Source organism: Homo sapiens, chromosome 6 (assembly GCF_000001405.40).
Source record: "Homo sapiens chromosome 6, GRCh38.p14 Primary Assembly".
Lineage (NCBI taxonomy): Eukaryota > Metazoa > Chordata > Mammalia > Primates > Hominidae > Homo > Homo sapiens.
In genome coordinates this window covers 100,541,085-100,560,526 of record NC_000006.12, presented here as the reverse complement: position 1 = coordinate 100,560,526, position 19,442 = coordinate 100,541,085, and the positions used below count along the sequence as shown (strand labels likewise).

Sequence of the window (19,442 nt, the reverse complement as noted above, 5' to 3'; positions counted from 1 at the left end):
TGCCAGCAGAGATTAATTTTTTCTGTTATGCTTGTAAAACAAGCTCAGGTGGAGTCTCTAATCCTCAGGGCACGGGTGGCAGATCAAGGAAGATGCTACAAAGCTAGTTAATTTTCTGATTCTGGGGGAAACAGAAGCTCTGTTAGATGTATAAATACATGATTGCAAATTTAAGTAGCTCAAATCCAAATGGGATCTTCCCTGACATCTGGTACTGAAAATCTCTGTTTTTCTTTGTTGTCTTTAAATATAACTTCTCGAAAGTTTACCCTGGAGCCAAAATATTGATATCTCTAAATATTAGGAAGTGATTAATTTTATGAGTTAATAACTTCAAACATCTAAATTTTGCAAACATTAACTAAAACTAAAACTTTCTGCCTAAACAGACACTAAGTTAGATGTCCAAAGTATATCCACTTACATATATTACCAGAAAGACATAGCATTAGCTATTTGATTGACAGGTGTCATTTTGTTTTCTAATGTATAACCATTCTATTTTTAGTGGTTTTATTTTCATTCTCCCAATTTAAGATTTCCACGTGACACTTGTTTCCCATATCTTATTATATGATCTATCAATATGTTTATCTTTTTGAGTAATGAATATGGGTTTCAAAATAGAATTAAGTGATGTTTTTAACAAATGTAACAGAATTTTTTTTTTTTTTTTTGAGATGGAGTCTAGCTCTGTGACCCAGGTTGGTTGGAGTACAGTGGCACCATCTCAGCTCTCTGCAACCTCCTCCTCCCAGGTTCAAGCAATTCTCCTGCCTCAGCCTCCCAAGTATTTGGGATTACAGGCACCACCACGTCCAGATAGTGTTTGTATTTTTAGTAGAGATGGGGTTTCACCATGTTGACCAGGTTGGTCTTAAACTCCTGACCTCAGGTGATCCTCCCGCCTTGGCCTCCCAAAGTGCTAGGATTACAGGCGTGAGCCACCATGCCCAGCCCTGTAACAGAATTTATACGTCCAATGACTATTGTCTCCTTAGGATTATTTATTTGAAAAGCTGTTTTTATTAGGCTTTGCCATTACAAAAAAATATTAACTCCTTCCAGGCCCTATTGTACATTCTTTTGATTATTTGGGTAGCAAAATGTGGTCCGCTAATGGTTATTTTTCTTTTGTGGGTTTTTTGTTTTGTTTTGTTCATTACCTTTACTTTTGTTTTGAGAAAACAGAAGGAATTTATTTGAAGCCAAGTCAAGTGAGTAAGTTTGTTAAGTCAGGCAATGTAATTTGGAGTTGTAAAAAATCTTGTTTGACTACATGATAATGTGTAGTTCCTAAAGTCATTCTGATTGCAATGCCAAAAAAGAAGTTTCACAGTATGTTGAGTAGTGAATGCCCTATTGAAATGCATTTATAACCTCCCAAGGTATTTGGTTAACATGACATACATATGTTCTGGTATGTTTATTTAAAATCAGTTTCTCCTGTGGTTCTATTCACACCTTACATAATGATATAAACCTTTATTAAGTTTCAGATTTTTGTTAATACTGAGTCCAAATCTTGTTTTACCAAGAGTATGCTCAATACTCAATTCTCAATGTATATCTCAAGAAGAGATAAACATTTTTAAAAGCCCTAAGTAGAATTCAAAGATTGACACTTCATAGAAAAAGCTCCTACAAAAATGCAAGATTCATAAGTGTCAGGAAGACTTTCTCATCATGATAAAATAGCCAGAGGACATAATATGGAATGAAAGCAAGCAAGTCTAAGAGGGGCTGGATAAATAACTGAGGAGTTAAGAAGCCTAGAGCAGTGTTAAGTCGAGGTAGTAATGATTGCTAATACATTGAAATAATTGTTTCCCAATCTATACTAAATAAGCCATCTCTTGTTGTCAGCTATCTGTCCCACTCAGAAGAAAACTATGATATCTTCAAATGCTGTACCTAGCCTAAATAAGGAACAAAAACACCCCACAAATCTCTAGTTTCTTTATTTTACATGTTCCATCATGACTTCTTCAAAGTTGTCTTTTTGAGATATGGCTTGCAAACCATGTGATTAATTCTGTAGCAGCATTTGACCCTCTATCATCATAAAGAACATTGTTTCAAAAGAACAAATCACTTATTGAATCAATCCTTAATTTTAAGCAATGTATTTACAAATCAAAATAGAGAATTAGAATATTCATAAGAATTACTCAGAAATTTGAGGGTCACCCATTTCTTCCTAATCAAAGCAGGGTACAATGCTTTTCACTTTGGGTTTAACTTTTAGCACACAATCATATAGAAAATTTTTTTACCAGAAATATATATATCAGGACATCATCAATTTTCTCATTATCCTCCCTTAATACTTTGATATTCAAGTCTTTTGCTTTTGAGCACTTATAGTATCATTAGTCTTATGTAGTTTTCTTCTTATATTACTATAATAAACCAAAATATGAACATTTCTTCCTGTCCTTGTTTTTTTTTTTTTCAAAGAAGTGAGGGATTATCAAGTATTTTCTCCTTTTTTGTTTATAGAGACAATAAAGTATACTTGAAAATGCCCCAGTTTTGGAATCAGACAGAACTCAGTTGAATTCTGATTCTGGAGAAAATAACAAGACCTAACTATACACTATCAGCAAGAGACACATTTTTTTGGGGGGGGTGATCCCCTCAAGCATTTATTTTATGTGTTACAAATAATCCAATTATATTCTTTTACTTATTTTAAAATATACAATCAAGTTATTGACTATAGTCACCTTGTTGTGTTGTCAAATAGCAGGTCTTATTCTTTCTAACTATTTTTTTGTGCCCATTAACAATCCTTACCCCCCACCCACCCTACCCCTCCCATCCTCTGGCAATCTTCCTCTCTATGAAGGGGCACATTTTATATTTGAAGATAAAATTAGGTTAAAAGTGAAGGGTTGGGAAAAGATATACCAGGTAAACAGCAACTGTAAAAGCTGAATTATACCATACTAATGTCAGTCAGTGGCTATACTAATGTCAGTCAAAATAGACTTTAAACAAAAAAAAATCATTTTAATAGAGACAAGGCAAACGTTTTATTATAATGAGTTCATTTATTAGAAAGATATACAAATTATAAACATATCCATACTAAAATCAACATCCCAAATCCATGCAGCAAAAACAGACAGAAATTGAGGGGAGAAATCACAACAGAAATTAGAAAATACTTTCAAATAAAAGCACAACATAACAGTACTTATGAGATCCAGCTAAAGCATACTTAAAGGGAAATTCGTAGCTGTATATGCCTGCGTTAAAGAACTATCTCAAATCAGTGACCTAACCCTCCACCTTAAAAAAGCTGGAAAAAGAAGAGCAATCACAACGGAGCATGTAACAAAAATAAATGTTGAGATAAATGAAATAGAGAATATAAAAAGAGTAGAATAAGTCAACAAAACTTAGTCTGCTTCTGCTCGCTCAGTAGATATTCCCATGTCGCTGTTCCTCTGTGAACATACTCAACATGTCTAAAATCTTGTGTTCATCATGCCCAGAAGACTGAGGAGTCCTACCATTGTTCTATGTGAGCTGCATTCACAGTCTTTAATACTTCCAAGATGAATTTTTGGGGGTAATCTTTGGCTCCTCCCTCTCTGCTCCCCAATTTCACATATTAAACCAGCTGCCTTTTATTCAGTCCTTTCTTTATTATTTTTTTTCTCAAATTTCTCCCTTAAAAAAAAATGTTCACTCTTTAGCTCCTATTTGGGTTCTCATCACCCTATTCCTAAACAATTGTGCTGACAGTCTCCTGAGTGATCTTCCAACTTTAGTTTCTCTGACATACTTAATGTACCCAACACAGTCTTGCCAATTAATCTGTTTTAAACCACCGTTTGCATCATTTCTCCCCTCCACAGTCTACAATTATATACATAATAAAGAATTATTTCGTTAGCCTGGCTGTCAAGGTCCTCCACAGTCTTAGTTTTCTACCTACACCTTCCATTAGACTGTTATAAATTACTTCTTCCCCTTTCTCCTGATTAACATTCTTACTCCCACCTTTAATCATGTTGTGTACATATTTCGCTTCATAAATTTGCTTATGATTCCCACCTGGACAATGTATCTGACATTCATCCATCCACATGGTATGGCATCCTCTTAACATTTCCTTAATTTAGCCTCAGTGATTATTACCTTTTCTAAATTTGTAGCACCAGCGTTCATTTCATTTATTTGGCAATTGTGCCTGTATTATGGTATTTCTTATATATTGGCCTGTTTTGATATTTCATTTTTAGATTTATTTAACTTTTTGTGTATGTATTTCTTAACTCCTAGAACAAGAATATTAAGCAAATATTAAACACATTAGAAAGGTTTTAATGCTATGCCTTAATCCTTTCCATTTTGGGTTTAATTCTTGTGGGGTTCTTTTTGTTTAAGTTTGATATATTCTCATACCCAGTAGAAATGCAAATTACAAAGAAAGTCACTTCTAATAAATATATATGGTTTTAAAGGTAGAAGCAAGGTAATTAGAAAGATTATTTGGCTTTTTCATTTGTTTGTTTTTGAGATGTGGTTTCACTCTGTCGCCCAGGCTGGATTGCAGTGGCTCTATCTCGGCTCATTGTAGCCTCCATCTCCTGGGCTCAAGCAATCATCCCACCTCAGCCTTTGGAGTAGCTGGGACCACAGGCTTGTGCCACCACACCCAGCTATTGGCTATTTGGCTTTTTAAGATAGATTACAGAGTGTGACACTGAATCTTACACAATTATATGTTGCTGTTAATCTCAGTATCCCTTTTTAGGATTCAAACCTGACAGCCTTGAGATTTTTATTTCTTAAAAGGAAAATATCTAAACATTGTTAAGCTGTAAGGCATTTTTATTGTAGCCTTTAAAACAGGAATTTTTTCAAGTTTCATCAAAGGGCAATTTTTTAAGGACTTAGCTATAAATCCTGGGAAATAGATGTTCCTGATGGAATTCTTACCACTTGAATTATTTTAAGTACAACAGACCTGCTGGTACCCACTATTTTAAGATCCCTTAAATTCCAGCTGTCAACCAGGTGGTCCTTCTTATATTGGAAAAAATGAAGTATCATTTCTTCTTCATATTTATTTTTGACAAATGCTTATGTGCTTGTCCTAATTGGTTGAGGGCCGAACATATGTCCATAAGTACTTATAAGACAATGATACAAGTCAGACACATATATTCACATGAGCCCTGAAAGGAAATATACATAGATTTTTATGAAGAATTACAATGATAGACATTAGTACTTATATTTTTACCATTTACATGATAAAGTTATTTTGATACTTTATTGTAGTGGAGTAAACTATGTGCATATTAGAAAATTTTTAATTAGCTGGATTTTAGTTTTATCATTTCCAATAAATGTTTTCTAACATAGGGCTATTTTTTTTTTACTTTTTTCAACCTGGAATGTTAATTCCTAGTATACCTTGCAGTGAATTTTCTGGTCAATATAAATACCATGTAAATCCAATTTATAATAGTCTTTTATTTTAGAGGTTTATTTTGTTTGGTATGATATATGATTTATAAAGTTTGAATAGATAATTTTAATAAAAGTCCAAATCATAAGTGTTAAAAACAATGCTAACTATATATATTTGATAATATATAGAAAAAAGTTATATCACACTTAGTTTTTAATAGATAATGATCCAATAATATCTGAAGAAATAAAGATAAAAATATAAGGCATTTTTTTTATCCGTTGATATATCTGGACCTAGTGTGGTAAACGCCAGATTGTTTTTCAAATATTATTATAAAATACAGAATACCCAATTAATTTAATACTTCAGAAATTAAACAGGATTCCTATCAGGGAAATTTACTGAAATGTTTTTTCTAAAGCTTCAGTGGCCAAAAGACAGCAGTGGAATGTGAGAAACTAATTTTGGTTTGTTTTAACGCCTCAGAATGTTACAAATTAATCAAGTGCTACTTAAAGTCTAGAACTCATTAACTTTATAAGTTTTACTTTTCCCATGACAGAGATTAAGTTATAGCATAAAGCTTCTTTAGTCTCACATCGAGCAGGCTGCCATCCCCACTGTACAAGTGCCCTCTTATCTGTGATTTAGTGAGTTCAGTGTAGGCAGCGATGTGTGCAGTGACATAAAAGTACTAGTTTACTGTTGCGTAATGTTTATGTGCAACCAGGTACAAATCCATTCTGGTCGTGTCTTTCCTCTATTCCCAGTAATCTGCTTAGGTAAAGCAGACACTAATAGTTACTGTACCTGGAAGAAAAAATATATATGTATGTTTAAAAATACACACACACTCAACCAACATTCATTTGTTCACATGCTTTCAGTAAAGAAAAAGTCAAAGTAGATTTTAAGTATTTAATCATTTGTTTCTTATTTTAACAAATCTAAAAGGTAAAGTTACAGTCAATGTTGTTAAGGGTCACAGTACATGTAAGATTTACATATCAAATAAAACTACCAGAGCTTTAACTAAACCCAAGTGCCAGCTAATTGCTGAAAGGCATATCTCATATTTAGCTGTACAGATTTTGCCATATTATTCTTAGGAGAACAAGCAAGTGAGTTATGTGACATAAGGGTGTGAGTAAACCATTATGTAATAGTGTATATCCCCAGTAAACTAAAAATCAGCATGAATATGCAAGCAAAATTTAGTAGGCTAAATATTTTTTTCTTTTTTAACTTTATGTGGAGTGGCTGAGTTTATGGCATTTGTAGAACAGATTGAGATTTGTAATGAAAAGGGAAACAAAATGAAAAGTATTCAGAGAACAGCAGGGACCATTTGATGTGATTACAAAAGATGTTTCCTTATTCTATTTTTTTCTTTTGCAATCTAAAAACAGTAGCAGGGGGTTACAAGCAGAGTTCATCATAGGTTGTCGATCACTGTCATTTAACATTTGCAGGGGAAGATGTCTTTATTCAAGGACAGCTGGGCAAATCAGAGACACAGATTTGCAGTTAGTAGTCTGTCCAGCCTACACTAAATAAACAAGGATAGGGCAGACAAACCAGCCTCTCACATAAAAATATAATGGACTCCACTGACCTTGCTGCCCTCCATTCAGCTTCAATCCCAGTTGCATAAAAGCTTCACTACCCACTTTCAATTTCCTCTAATTACCTACATGATGTAGATAAGAAAATGAACCTTACCGATAGTCAGTGATCACACAGGAAATTAGCTAGACAAGTTGTTTAAAATTAGAGGAGTAATTTGGAGGTAAATAGAGTGTCCTACTAAGGAAGCAGTGGCTAGAAAGGATTTTTGTTTGCTTGTTTTTAACCAGGGATTGTGATTATTTTACTAGCTCACTTTCTGCTGATCTTGAGATTGCTGCCTTTCTAATTAATCTTAACTAAGTAAAAAACCTCCTCCGTAAGTATTCTGAAACACCCAGCATAAAATACTTGAGGGACCTGAGAACTAAGTAAAGTGGTGAAGCAAGCATGTCATATTCTAAAGAGCTTAGAGAAACTGTGAACTGGAATTTCAGGAGTACATGACCATGGTATTCACAGGAGAGCCTGGCAGAGCAATTGAGGATTAAATAGCAGTTGTCTTCAGTCTGTCTTCATTTTAAATCTCTTTTCAAGTCCATAATCAAAATATCATCTCCAAAAGGAAAAGAAAAAAACAACTTATAATATTTTCTATTCATTCTAAATAATCTAAAATATATAATATTTTCTATCTTTTTCTTGTGGTTCATAGCACTTGAGTTTTAATTAAAAAACACTATAGGGTTTCAGAGTAATATACTCCATAATACTTTTTTTTTTCTTTCAGAAATGTTGCATTCCAGCTGTATTAATGCTTCTTTTTCTCTATCTTTCCACACTATTTTGAGTTAGTTCCACTGAGGTGCACTGGAAAGAGCATATTTCTTTATCACACATTGATGTACTTTTGTGAGCATTTAATTAATGTGGATTTAAAAGAAACCTAATTGGAGATTGGAGACTAAAGCTCACAGTATCAAATCTGCAGTTCAAGAGGATACAATTTCTGAATATTTTATCTTGAATTTGACTGTCTCTTATATTACAAGCACATATTGGTCTTTCAAAGAACCAATATTTTCAATGATGCAATCACATATAAATTGTATGGTTACTTGAATAAAATGAATGTGAAACTACTAGTAAAGCATAAGTTTTAAAAATCTTGTTTCTTTGAATAACACTTTAAGAATCATATTTTTTAAAGTAGGTTAATTAAATTTTATTTTACATAGTGAAGGACACTTACATAATTATAAACAAAGATTTACATCTGAAAACTGTAGAACAAAATTCAATTAACTCTTAAAATTCAGTTAACATCCTTTAGAGTATCAGATGTGATTATTATCATTATTATTACTATTATTTTTATTATTATTATTTCTAACATTTACAGCACATCTTACCATGTTTAAGTGGTTTATAAACACTATCATATTGAATTCTCACACCAAACCCAAATTTAAGATAAGAAATTTGGGACCTGGGGAGTTACAGTTACTCTCAGAAGGTTACATAGCTTGGAAGTGGCAGAGCTGAAGATCACCTATTGTATCAATTCCCAGATCTCACATTTCTCTCCACCACCTCATCCCACACCATGCCCACCCTAGAGATCTATAATATCTCTAAAGGGATGAGTTACTTACTACCACATTCTTTGGATTCCCTTTATTTCAAACACTGGAAGCAGAAAAAGAAGAACTGTCAAAGGAAGTAATAGCTGTTGATTAGACCTGTTAATTATAATTTTTAAATATGGAAACTAATATTGATTTGATAATTGATAAACATTTATAAACCAAATGTCAGCTCCTTTGAAGATCTCAAAAGTGTTGTCTGTGTCAAATTTGATAATGAAAAATGTCCTACTTACCAAAAGCATATGTTTAATTATAAAATCAGTGTAGACACTTTTGGATTATGACTCACTATCAAGTACAGTGTAGATATAACTTATATTTGAAAAATAATATTAAGCCTTTTTAAGAGTATGTTACTATAATAAGTGCCAGTCCCCCCTTTTCTATTCAAATTTGATTCTTAACCTATCTTCCCTCCTTCCTTTTTCTTTTAAAAAAATCATTTTGATTGTCTTTCAATTCAATCATAACTTCTTCACAGATACCTACATGCCCACTATTATTATATGTACCTCTTCCTCATTATATTTGTCCAGTTGCCATTTTGCATTTATTTGTGATTATCTTTGATTAAGGTCTGGCTCCCCCGCTAGACTGCAGAGCTTCATAAAAGCAGAGAGTCATGTCTCTTTTTGTTTACCATTGTGTATACCTGTCCATAATATATGCTGAATAAATATGTGGTAAACAAGCTACCCAGCCCAGTAAGACCTTGTGGTTATTGAAGTACTTTTAATTTTTATTGAAGTGCATATAGTTTTTTGCAAAGAAATTAAGGAACCCTTAGTTAAGAAAGATTACTTCATGCACTAAGAAAAGGCATCACTGGGTTAACATTTTAGGAGGGTGACTGTCTGGATAACTACATAAGGCATTTTTATTAAACTTATTAAACTTAGATTAACTACATAAGGCATTTTTATGAAACTTATTAAACTTAGAAACTTATTAAACTTAGAAAAATATCTCTACTGCAGAGCATTCTTTCCAACCCAAAATATACTCAACTGTTAGCAGACTCATCTGATACTGATACTACTGGCAGTGGTCAAATACACAATCCTAGTAAAGAAGGGGATTAATGCAATAAATCACATAAATCTAGCAGAATTAGCATGGTTTAGAAGAGAACAGTAGAGTCACATCTTACATGGAGTTGAAATTCTAACAGAGTTGAAATTCTAACATAGGGAAATACAACTAAAAGTACTTATGATCAAAGTTACCTGCAAATAACCCCACAAGTGCAAGCATGGTCGAGTATAGTCAGCCCTGTTCAGATATGCTGATTCTCTGTGAGTTCAGCACTCCTAAGTTTTCCTCTACCATTGGAGCAGATCATTGTTTCTTTAGCACCAAATGAAGTAGTTTGCTTACATTTACAAGGCAAGCCTTATGAAAAATGTATACTTTTGAATACTAGAAACATATTTAGAAAGATGTTCACACTTTCAGAGGTTTCTCTTTCTCAGGGGAAAATGGGAGTGTATAGTGTATGTAATTAAGTTGACCTACATAGTACTGAAGAAAGTAGATTATCTAATTAATAGATAATACTATTAATTAGTGTTTTCATTCAAAATCTGTAGACCCAATGCAGGTTGCAGTACTAAAATAGCTATTGAATTTTCTTCTGATAAAGGATCAGAAGGAATTGGATTTTACAAACAGTAGAAAGAAACATAAAATGTGAATAAAGTTTTAGACTATGAAACAGAATTAAAGCTGATTTCTTCTCCTTCCACCACCTCCACCGAACTATCTGGATTCTTGCTGTTTCTTTAAGTGTATTTTGCATACTTGACAGAAAGCTCCTGCTCATGGATGTTCCCAACTCCACTGCTACTAATAGCATCATCATTCTTCTCATCCCTGAAGCTTAAACCTCAGATGCTCCTTATCAGTTTTCATGGATCTACTCACACTATTTTCTTTGCCTGGAATGCAGGGAATCTCTCCTCTCTCCTCTTCTACAAATTGTTCTAAGCCTAGAACAAATGCCGTGTCTTCTGGGAAACTTTCCAACACATCCAGTTTTCTTCAGTGCTCTTCTCTGTAGAATGTCTTATTCCTCACTTAAAATAATTATTCATTTATATAATTTGTTTCCCTAAATATTATTTTAATTTCCTTGAAGGAAAATTTTTTTTTTAGATTTCTGAGTCATTCTCTTCCTTATTTGCTATTACATTTTTCTTAAACCAGTTGGCAAGGCTGGGAAAATAAGTGAACTTTCTGATGGGGACTTTGATGGAGCTTAAACAGGTTGAAATGAGTCAGTCAGCAGGTAACAGTAGTTCAGTCCTGATTCACCTGAAATCCAAGAATAATAGCACTGTCTTATATAGCTGATCCCTCATTTTTGGCAAATGACTTCAAAGAAAAAAGGAAAAAACTAACATGACATACAAGAAGAAAACCAAGGTGACACACAGGGTTAAATAAACATTGTTAACTGCTAATGTGTCAGCGTATAGTTCTTCCATAAAATAGTCCAAAATAGTGAAGACAGTATTCAAAACAGCGTAGAATAGCCATAACATTGTTTTATTATTACCAAGAAAAACAAGGGACATAATTAACAAATATTTATCAATTCAGTTAAACAGAATGTTCCAAATAATATTCAAGATACTTTTTCAGCCTGCTGTATTAAATCTGTTGAAACTATTTTTGCACAACATTTTTCAGTCTCGTGGACTCACCATTTTTCCTCTCATTAGAGGGCCTTTGTATACAGCAGTCCCCCCTTATTTGCAGTTTTTCTTTCCAGGTTTCAGTTACCCATGGTCAACCACAATCCAAAAATAGGTGCCTACATTACACAAAGTATTTTGAGAGAGAAAGAGGACATTCACAAAATTCCTATTGCAATATATTATTATAATTGTTTTATGTTATTATTAGTTATTGTTGTTCATCTCTTACTCTACCTAATTTATAAATTAAACTTTATCATAGATATGTATGTATACATAGGAAAAACATAGTATATATAAGGCTTGTTACTATCCGGAGTTTCATGTGTCCGCTGGGGTTCTTGGAATGTATCCCCTGTGGATAAGGGAGAACTACTGTATACTATTCCTAGAACACTCCTCACTTCTCTTTTCACCTAGTTAATATCTGCTCATCCTGTATATCTTAGTTTGAATGCCTTTTCCTTCAGAAAGCCTTCCTAACCTTCCTAACTTGGTCAAATTTCTTTACAAAACTCTCTCATGTTTCCATGTATCTCTTCCTCATAGCACTTGTCACCATATCAAATTTGCGTTTATATATGTAGTTGCTTGAATAATGTCTGTCTGTCACACTAGGGAGCTTGACTGTGCCAAGAGCCTACAATGGCATATGGTAGATACTCAAAAATATTTATTAAATTATTTCATACAAAGTTTTGATATAGGAAGTTTCCTATTAATATAGTCTAAATTTTTTCATAAGGATTTAATACTATCGTCATTGCCCTATTTTTTAGTACTTTTGTAGTATATACTTGGCATGTAATATGGGCATGGGGTTCTGAAACTGTCAATCAAGCACAAAAAGATGCAGACATTATGCATAGATAGTAGAATATTCCAGTTGTTTCATATTACTGCATTCCAAATAATGAACTCTCTAAGGGGTTCCATCGTTAAGTCTTATTTCATAGACAAGAATCCATGAGTGCAAATCAAAAGTTGTCTTATTTTTCTCTATGAACACACCTCCCACCATGACCACTCCCCTAGGTAGCTAGTAATCTGTTTGCTGTTCCTATAGATTCATTTGCATTTTCTAGAGTAGGATATAAATGAAATCCTAGTGTATGTATTCCTGTTTTTTTTTTTTGGTCTGGCTTCTTTGACTCAACATAATTATTTTGATACTCATTCATGTTCTGGCAAACATCAATCATTAATTCCTTTTATTGCTAAAATTCCATTGTGTGGATGTGACACAGTTGTTTACCTTCTCACCTGTTGATGGACATTTAAGTTTTTTTCTGATTTTTTTTTCACTTTACAAATAATGCTGCTGCCAACTACTGTGTACAAGTCTTTGTTGTATGGACATACACCTTCTTTTCTCTTGGGTAAATCCCTAGGAATGGAATAGCTAGATCACATGGTGGGTGTATGTTTAATGTTTTAAGAAAACATGAGACTCTTTTCCAAAGAAATTGGAACATCTTACATTCCCACCAGCTATGCATGAAATTTCCATTTCTTTCCCATTCTCTCCAACACTTGCTATGTCACAGTTATTTTAATTTTGGCCATTCTAATTTATATTTTTCTTAAAACTAGTGATATGAGACATCTTTACATAAAGTATCTGTTAAAATCTTTAGCCCTTCTTTTACTGGGCTGTTTGTTTTCTCATTGTTGGAGCTTTGAGAGAACCTTATATATTCTGGATACAAGTCCTAGATCAGATATCTGCTTTGCAGATACTTTCACTCTGTGGCTTTTATTTTTAGTATTTTAACAATATATTTTAAATCTTGATGATGTTCAGCTGATCATTTTTTTTCTTGTATGGGTCATGTTTTAACTGTCCCATCAAATAAATTTTTTCCTAATTCCAGGTAACAAAGATGTTCTGTGTTTTCTTCTGGAACTTTTAAAGTTTTAGATTTTATATTTAGGTCTATGATACATTTTGAGTGAATTTTCTTATGGTATAAAATAAGGATTGAAGTTGATTCTTTTTTGCCATATGGATACCCAGTTATTCTACTACCACTTCTTGAAAAGACTGTTCTCCCCTGCTTTGCCTTTGAGCCTTGGTCAAAAATTAGTTGCCCTTGTATATGTGGGTTATTTTTGGACTCCTTGTTCAATTCCAATGTATACATTTTTGCTTAGTGTAGCTTTATAAGTCATGTAGTGCTCATGGAGAACATGCTTAAGAATCCATCATGATGGGAAATATTCCATTCTCAAAAAAAAATTATCTTCTTCCTGTTGTGGTAGTTGTGAACACTAGATATTTTTTTCCATGGGGTCAAAAGGTACCTAAGTATATGATTGTGAATGAAAAAAATAGGGGACAGAAATCAGGTATTGGCAGTTTTTCCATTTTTATTTGTGTGTGAATTTTTAATATAAATGTGGAGACATAAAGCATTAATGCAAATCAAAATGTTTCAGTGAAAAAGTTTCAGCAATTCAGCTTTATGATAACTATAAATAAACTTGTTAAATTTTTCTGGACAATGCCAGGATTTGGATTTTTTTTAAACAAGTAAATTTCTTATTGACAGCAACTAAATGATGTTGGTTGCATTTCTATCATACAGTAGATTGCATCCGTTCACTGTATTTTTCTGAGTTGTCCTACATGCAAGCACGTTTTTAATGTTGTCTGTCTTCTGTGCTGTTCCTGTAAGTTTGCTATTAAAATACATTAAACTATAAAAAAAAATAATGTAGGGCTAGCTCTTCAACGTTGGTCTTTTTATCCTGAGTGCTTTTGGCTATTCTAGGTCCTTTACATTTCCATGTGAATTTTAGAATCAACTTGTCAATTTCTAATACACACAACATAGGGCCTGCTGCAGCTTCAACTGAAATTGTATTAAATCTGTAGATCAATTTGGGAGAATTAAGGTATAACCCTTCATTTAGTTGGATCCTCTTTATTTTTTCCTAGCAGTGTTTTCTTTGTTTTGTTTTCAATATCCAGGTTTTCATATTTTTATCAGATTCATCTCTAAGTGTACTTCATATATATAATGTTATCATGAATTCCTTTTTTATTTCTGATTGTTGGTTCCAAATATACAGAAAAATACAATCAATTTTTGTATATTAATTTTGTATCCTACACCCTTGCCAAACTTATTTTTTAAATATCATTGGACTTTCTACATTGATGGTCATGTCAACTGCAAATAAAGATAGTTGTACCTCTTCCTTTCCAATCTAGATGCCTTTATTTCTTATTGTTGCCTGATTGTACTGGCTAGAACCTGTGGTACAGTGTTGAATAGAAATAGTAAGAGCAGACCAGGCATGGTGGTTCACATATGTAATCCCAGCGCTTTGGGATGCTAAGGCAGAAAGTTGCTTGAGGCAAGGAGTTTGAGATCAGTCTCCGCAACATAGTAAGATCCCAAGTCTACAAAAAATATTTTTTTTAATTAGCCAAGCATGGTGGTGCATGCCTACTCTGAAGGCTAAGGTGAGAGGATAACGAGCCCAGGAGTTTGAGGCTGCAGTGAGCTATGATTGTGCCACTACATTTCAGCCTGGGCGACAAGAGTGAGGCCCTATCTCTGTTTTTTAAAAAGAGAATAATTAGTAGTAGTGGTGAAAGCAGAAATCCCTGTTTTGTTCCAGATCTTAGGGGAGAAACATTCAGTCTGTCACTATTAAATGTTAGCCATAGATTTCTCAGAAGTGCCATTTATGGCCAGCGCTGTGGCTCACGCCTGTAATCCCAGCACTTTGGGAGGCCGAGGCATGCAGATCACAAGGTCAAGAGATCGAGACCATCCTAGCTAACAGGGTGAAACCCCGTCTCTACTAAAAATGAAAAAATTAGCCAGGTGTGCTGGCACACGCCTGTAGTCCCAGCTACTTGGGAGGCTGGGGCAAGAGAAGCGCTTGAACCTGGGAGGTAGAGGTTGCGGTGAACCGAGATGGTGCCACTGCACTCCAGCCTGGGCGACAGAGCAAGACTCCGTCTCAAAAAAAAGCAACAAAAAAAGAAGTGCCATTTATGAGGTTGAAAAAGTAACCCTCCTTTTCTTAGTTTGCTGAGAGTTTTTGTTAGGCATGGATGTTGAACTTTGTCAGATTTTTTTTTTCTGTATAACTGAGATGATAATGTGGTTTTTCTTTTAAAGTTTATTTATAAGGTGAATTATATTTATTGATGTTTGAGTGTTTAACCAATCCTGCATCCCCAGAATAAACTTCATTTGGTCATGATGTATTATTCTGTTTATATATTGTTAAATTTGCTAAAATTTTGTTTAGAATTTTTACGTTTATGAGAGATATTTTGTGGTTTTCTTGTCCTTTAATGTTATTGTCTAGTTTTGACATAAGGACAGAACTGGTGCCATCAAATTAGTTGGGAAATATTTCTGTCTCTTTGATGTTCCAGGAAAATTCTTACAGAATTGGTTTTAATTCTTTCTTAAATGTTTGATAGAATTCACTAGGGAAGCTATCAGGGCATGGAGTTTTCTCTGTCAGAAGATTTTTTACTACAAATTGAATTTCTTTAATACATGTAAAGATTTTCAGGTTATTTCTTCTTGAGTTTTCTATTTCTTCTTTTTTTTTGTCTTTCAAGGAGTTTATCTATTTCATCTTAGTTTTTACAGGTAAAGGCATAAAGCTGTTCATATTATTTTTTAATTATTATTTTAGTATCTGTAAAACCTGTAGTTATGTCACCCCTCTTATACCTGATATTGGTGTGTGTCTTCTCTCCTTTTTCCCTGATCTGTTTGCTAGAGGAGTATCAGTGTTGTTGATCTTCTTAAAGAACCGGCTTTTGGTCTCATTTGTTTTCTCTATTGTATTTGTTTCCTATTTCAGTGATTTGTTCACTTTAATTTTCATCCTTTCCTTTCTTTTGCTTATTTGGACTTAATTTCCTGTTCTTTTTCTAGTTTTTTAAGGTGGACACAAAAGTCACTGATTTGAGACCTTTCTTCAATTCTAATATAGATGTTTAGTTTTATAAATCCCTCCTAAGTACTGTTCCAATGATATCCCACAAAATCTGAGACGTTATATTTTTATTTTCATTCAGTGCAAAATACTTTCTCATTTCCTGTTTTATTTTTTCTTTCAATCATGAGTTAGAGGTGTATTACTTAGTTTCTAAATATTTGGGATTTTCCAGAGATCTGTCTGTCATTGGTTTCTCATTTCATTTTCTTGCAGTCAAAGTATCACTTGAAATTTGTTTTTATGGCCCTCTAATATGATCTCAGTAAATAGTCTCTGTGTTCTTGAGAATAAATATATTCAACTCTTATTGCGTTGTGTGTTTTATAAATGTCAATCAAGTCAGCTTAGTTAACAGTGTTGTTCAATTCTATATTCTTGCTGATTTTTTCGACTTGTTTTAGTGATTATTAAAAGATAGGTATTGAAATCTTCAGCAATACTTCTGATTTTTTTTCTGTTTCTCCATGTACTTCTACAAGTTTTTTTTCATGGATTTTGAAGCTGTTATTCAGGACATAAATGTTTCAGATTGTTATGTCCTTCTGATTGATTGACTCCTTTATAGTTAATGAAGTTACCGTCTTTATCCATGATGATAATCTTTGCTCTGAAATGTACTTTATCTGAAATTAATATAGCCACTCTGCCTTTCTTTGAACTACTGTTAGCATAGTATATCTTTTTCTATTCCTTTACTTTTAACATATTTGTCTCTCTATACATTAATATATACATATCTACACATATATACATGTATTTATATATGTATATTAGTGCGTGTTTGGTAGTAGGCAAACATATATAGTTGGTCCTCTGTGTCTATGGGTTCTGCATTCATAGATTAATCAATTGCAGATCGAAAATATTCATAAAAAAATGGCTGCATTTGTACTGAACATGTATAGACTTTTCTTTGTTGCCATTATTCCCCAAACAACACAGTATAACAACTATGTACATAGCATTTACGTTGTATTAAGTATTATAAGTAATCTAGAGATGACTTAAAGTATACAGGAGGATATGTGTAAGTTACATGCAAATACTACACATTTTATATAAGAGACTTGAGTATCTGGATTTAAGTATCTGTAGGGGGTCCTGGAACCAATCCTCCATGGATACCAAGGGACAACTGTAGTTGGGTCATGCTTTATTATGTAGATAATAAACTCTAATTATGTATTTTAAACTCCATAATGCATTATTTATTATTTTTGTTTAAACAATCATTTTGTATTGAGTGATATTAAAATAGTAATAACAAATTATTACATATTTATCCATGAAATTACCACTTTTAGTGCTCTTCATTTCTTTGTGTAGATCCATATTTTCATCTGGTATAATTTGTCTTCTGCCTGAACAATGACTTTAACATTAAGCATGTCAGCTGAATTATTTCAGCTTTTGTATGTTTGAAAATTCTTCACTTTTGAAAGATTTATTTTCACTGAATTTAGCATTCTAGATTGACAGTTGTTTTTCTTTTTTTATTTTATTATTATTTTTTTTTTGACGGAGTCTTGCTCTGTCTCCAGGCTGAAGTGCAGTGGCGCCATCTCGGCTCACTGCAACCTCTGCCTCCCGAGTTCAAGCGATTCTCCTGCTTCAGTCTCCCGAGTAGCTGGGACTACAGGTGCGTGCCACCATGCCCAGCTAATTCATTGTATTTTTAGTAGAGATGAGGTTTCACCATGTTGGCCAGGATGGTCTCAATCTCTTGACCTCGTGATCCGCTGGCCTCAGCCTCCCAAAGTGCTGGGATTACAGGCGTGAGCCACCGCGCCCGGCCCGACAGTTGTTTTTCTTACAGTAAATTAAACATGTTGCTTCACTGTTGCCTTATGGCATTATTTCTGATGAGAAACCTGGTTTCTTATCTTCCTTCCACTGTACATAACATAGTGTTTCCTCTGGCTGCTTTTCATATTTTCTATTTATTAGTGATTTTGAGCAATTCAGTAGTGATGAATTATGGTTGTATAGTTCTCTTCATTTTTCTTTGGTTGAGGTTTGTTGAATATCTTGAATCTATAGATTTATAGTTTATATCAAATTAGACCTTTTCCAGTGACTATATCTTCAAACTTTTTTCTGCCCTTCCTTCCACACTGTGCATTAGGCCACTTGAAGTTGTCTCACAACTCATTGATGTTGTGTTGATTTTTTAAATTCTTTTTTCTCTTTGTGTTTCATTTTTAATAGTGTCTATTGATGTCTTTAAGTTTACAAATTTCTTCAATGTGTATTCTTCCATTAATAAAATTCAGTGTATTTTTCATCTCAGACATTGTAATTTTCATCTCTAGAAATTTGAATTGAGTAGTTGTCAGTAACTTTTTAAATATGTAAAATACAGTTGTAACAACTGTTTTGTCTGCTAATTCTAAGATCTATGTCAGTCCTAAGTTTTCATTGATTGATTATTCTCCTTGTTATAGATCCTCTTTTCCTGTTTTTTTGCATAGTTGATAATCATTAATTGGATGACATACATTGTGAATTTCACCTTCTTGAGTACTGTATTTTTTGTATTCCTATAAATCTTCTTGAGCTCTGTTCTGGAATGCAGTTAATTTACTTGGAAGCTGTTTGATCCTTTTAGGTGTTGCTTTTTGATTTGCTGGGCAGGTCTAGAGTAATATTTGTCGTAGAGCTAATTATTCTCCACTACTTAGGCAAGGTTGTCTTCATCTCCTCAATACAGGTAGTCCTCCAGGTGTACCTGGATTCTCTCTCACTACACCACAGTGTGGTAACGCTCCATGCAGTAAGCTGAGGCAATGCTAAGGGTCACCTAGTTTGTTTTCTATATATCAGAGATCATTCTCTTTCATAGTTTTATGTTCAGCATCTGGAAGACCACTGTTTCATAGGTTTTTGTCTTTTTTTTTTTTTTAATTTTTTGGAGGAAGTTGGCAGTTGCAGTAGGAGGATAAATCCAGCCCCTGTTTGAATATTAACATATCCAATTAATGCTATGTCTGATGTAGGATTCATATCAACATCCATGGACAATCTCAAATAACTACATATTTGGAAAAATATGATGTTTGTTTCACAACAAACGCTAATAAATAGATCAGTCTATTTTTTAACAGAACAGTT

At 33.4% G+C, this 19,442-nt stretch overlaps 1 protein-coding gene across 5 annotated transcripts in view; it reads left to right on the top strand.

Moving 5' to 3' along the window:
- The window catches only part of ASCC3 (activating signal cointegrator 1 complex subunit 3), a 373,136-nt gene that overhangs the window by 320,803 nt on the left and 32,891 nt on the right, over positions 1-19,442 (top strand). The window lies entirely within an intron of this gene.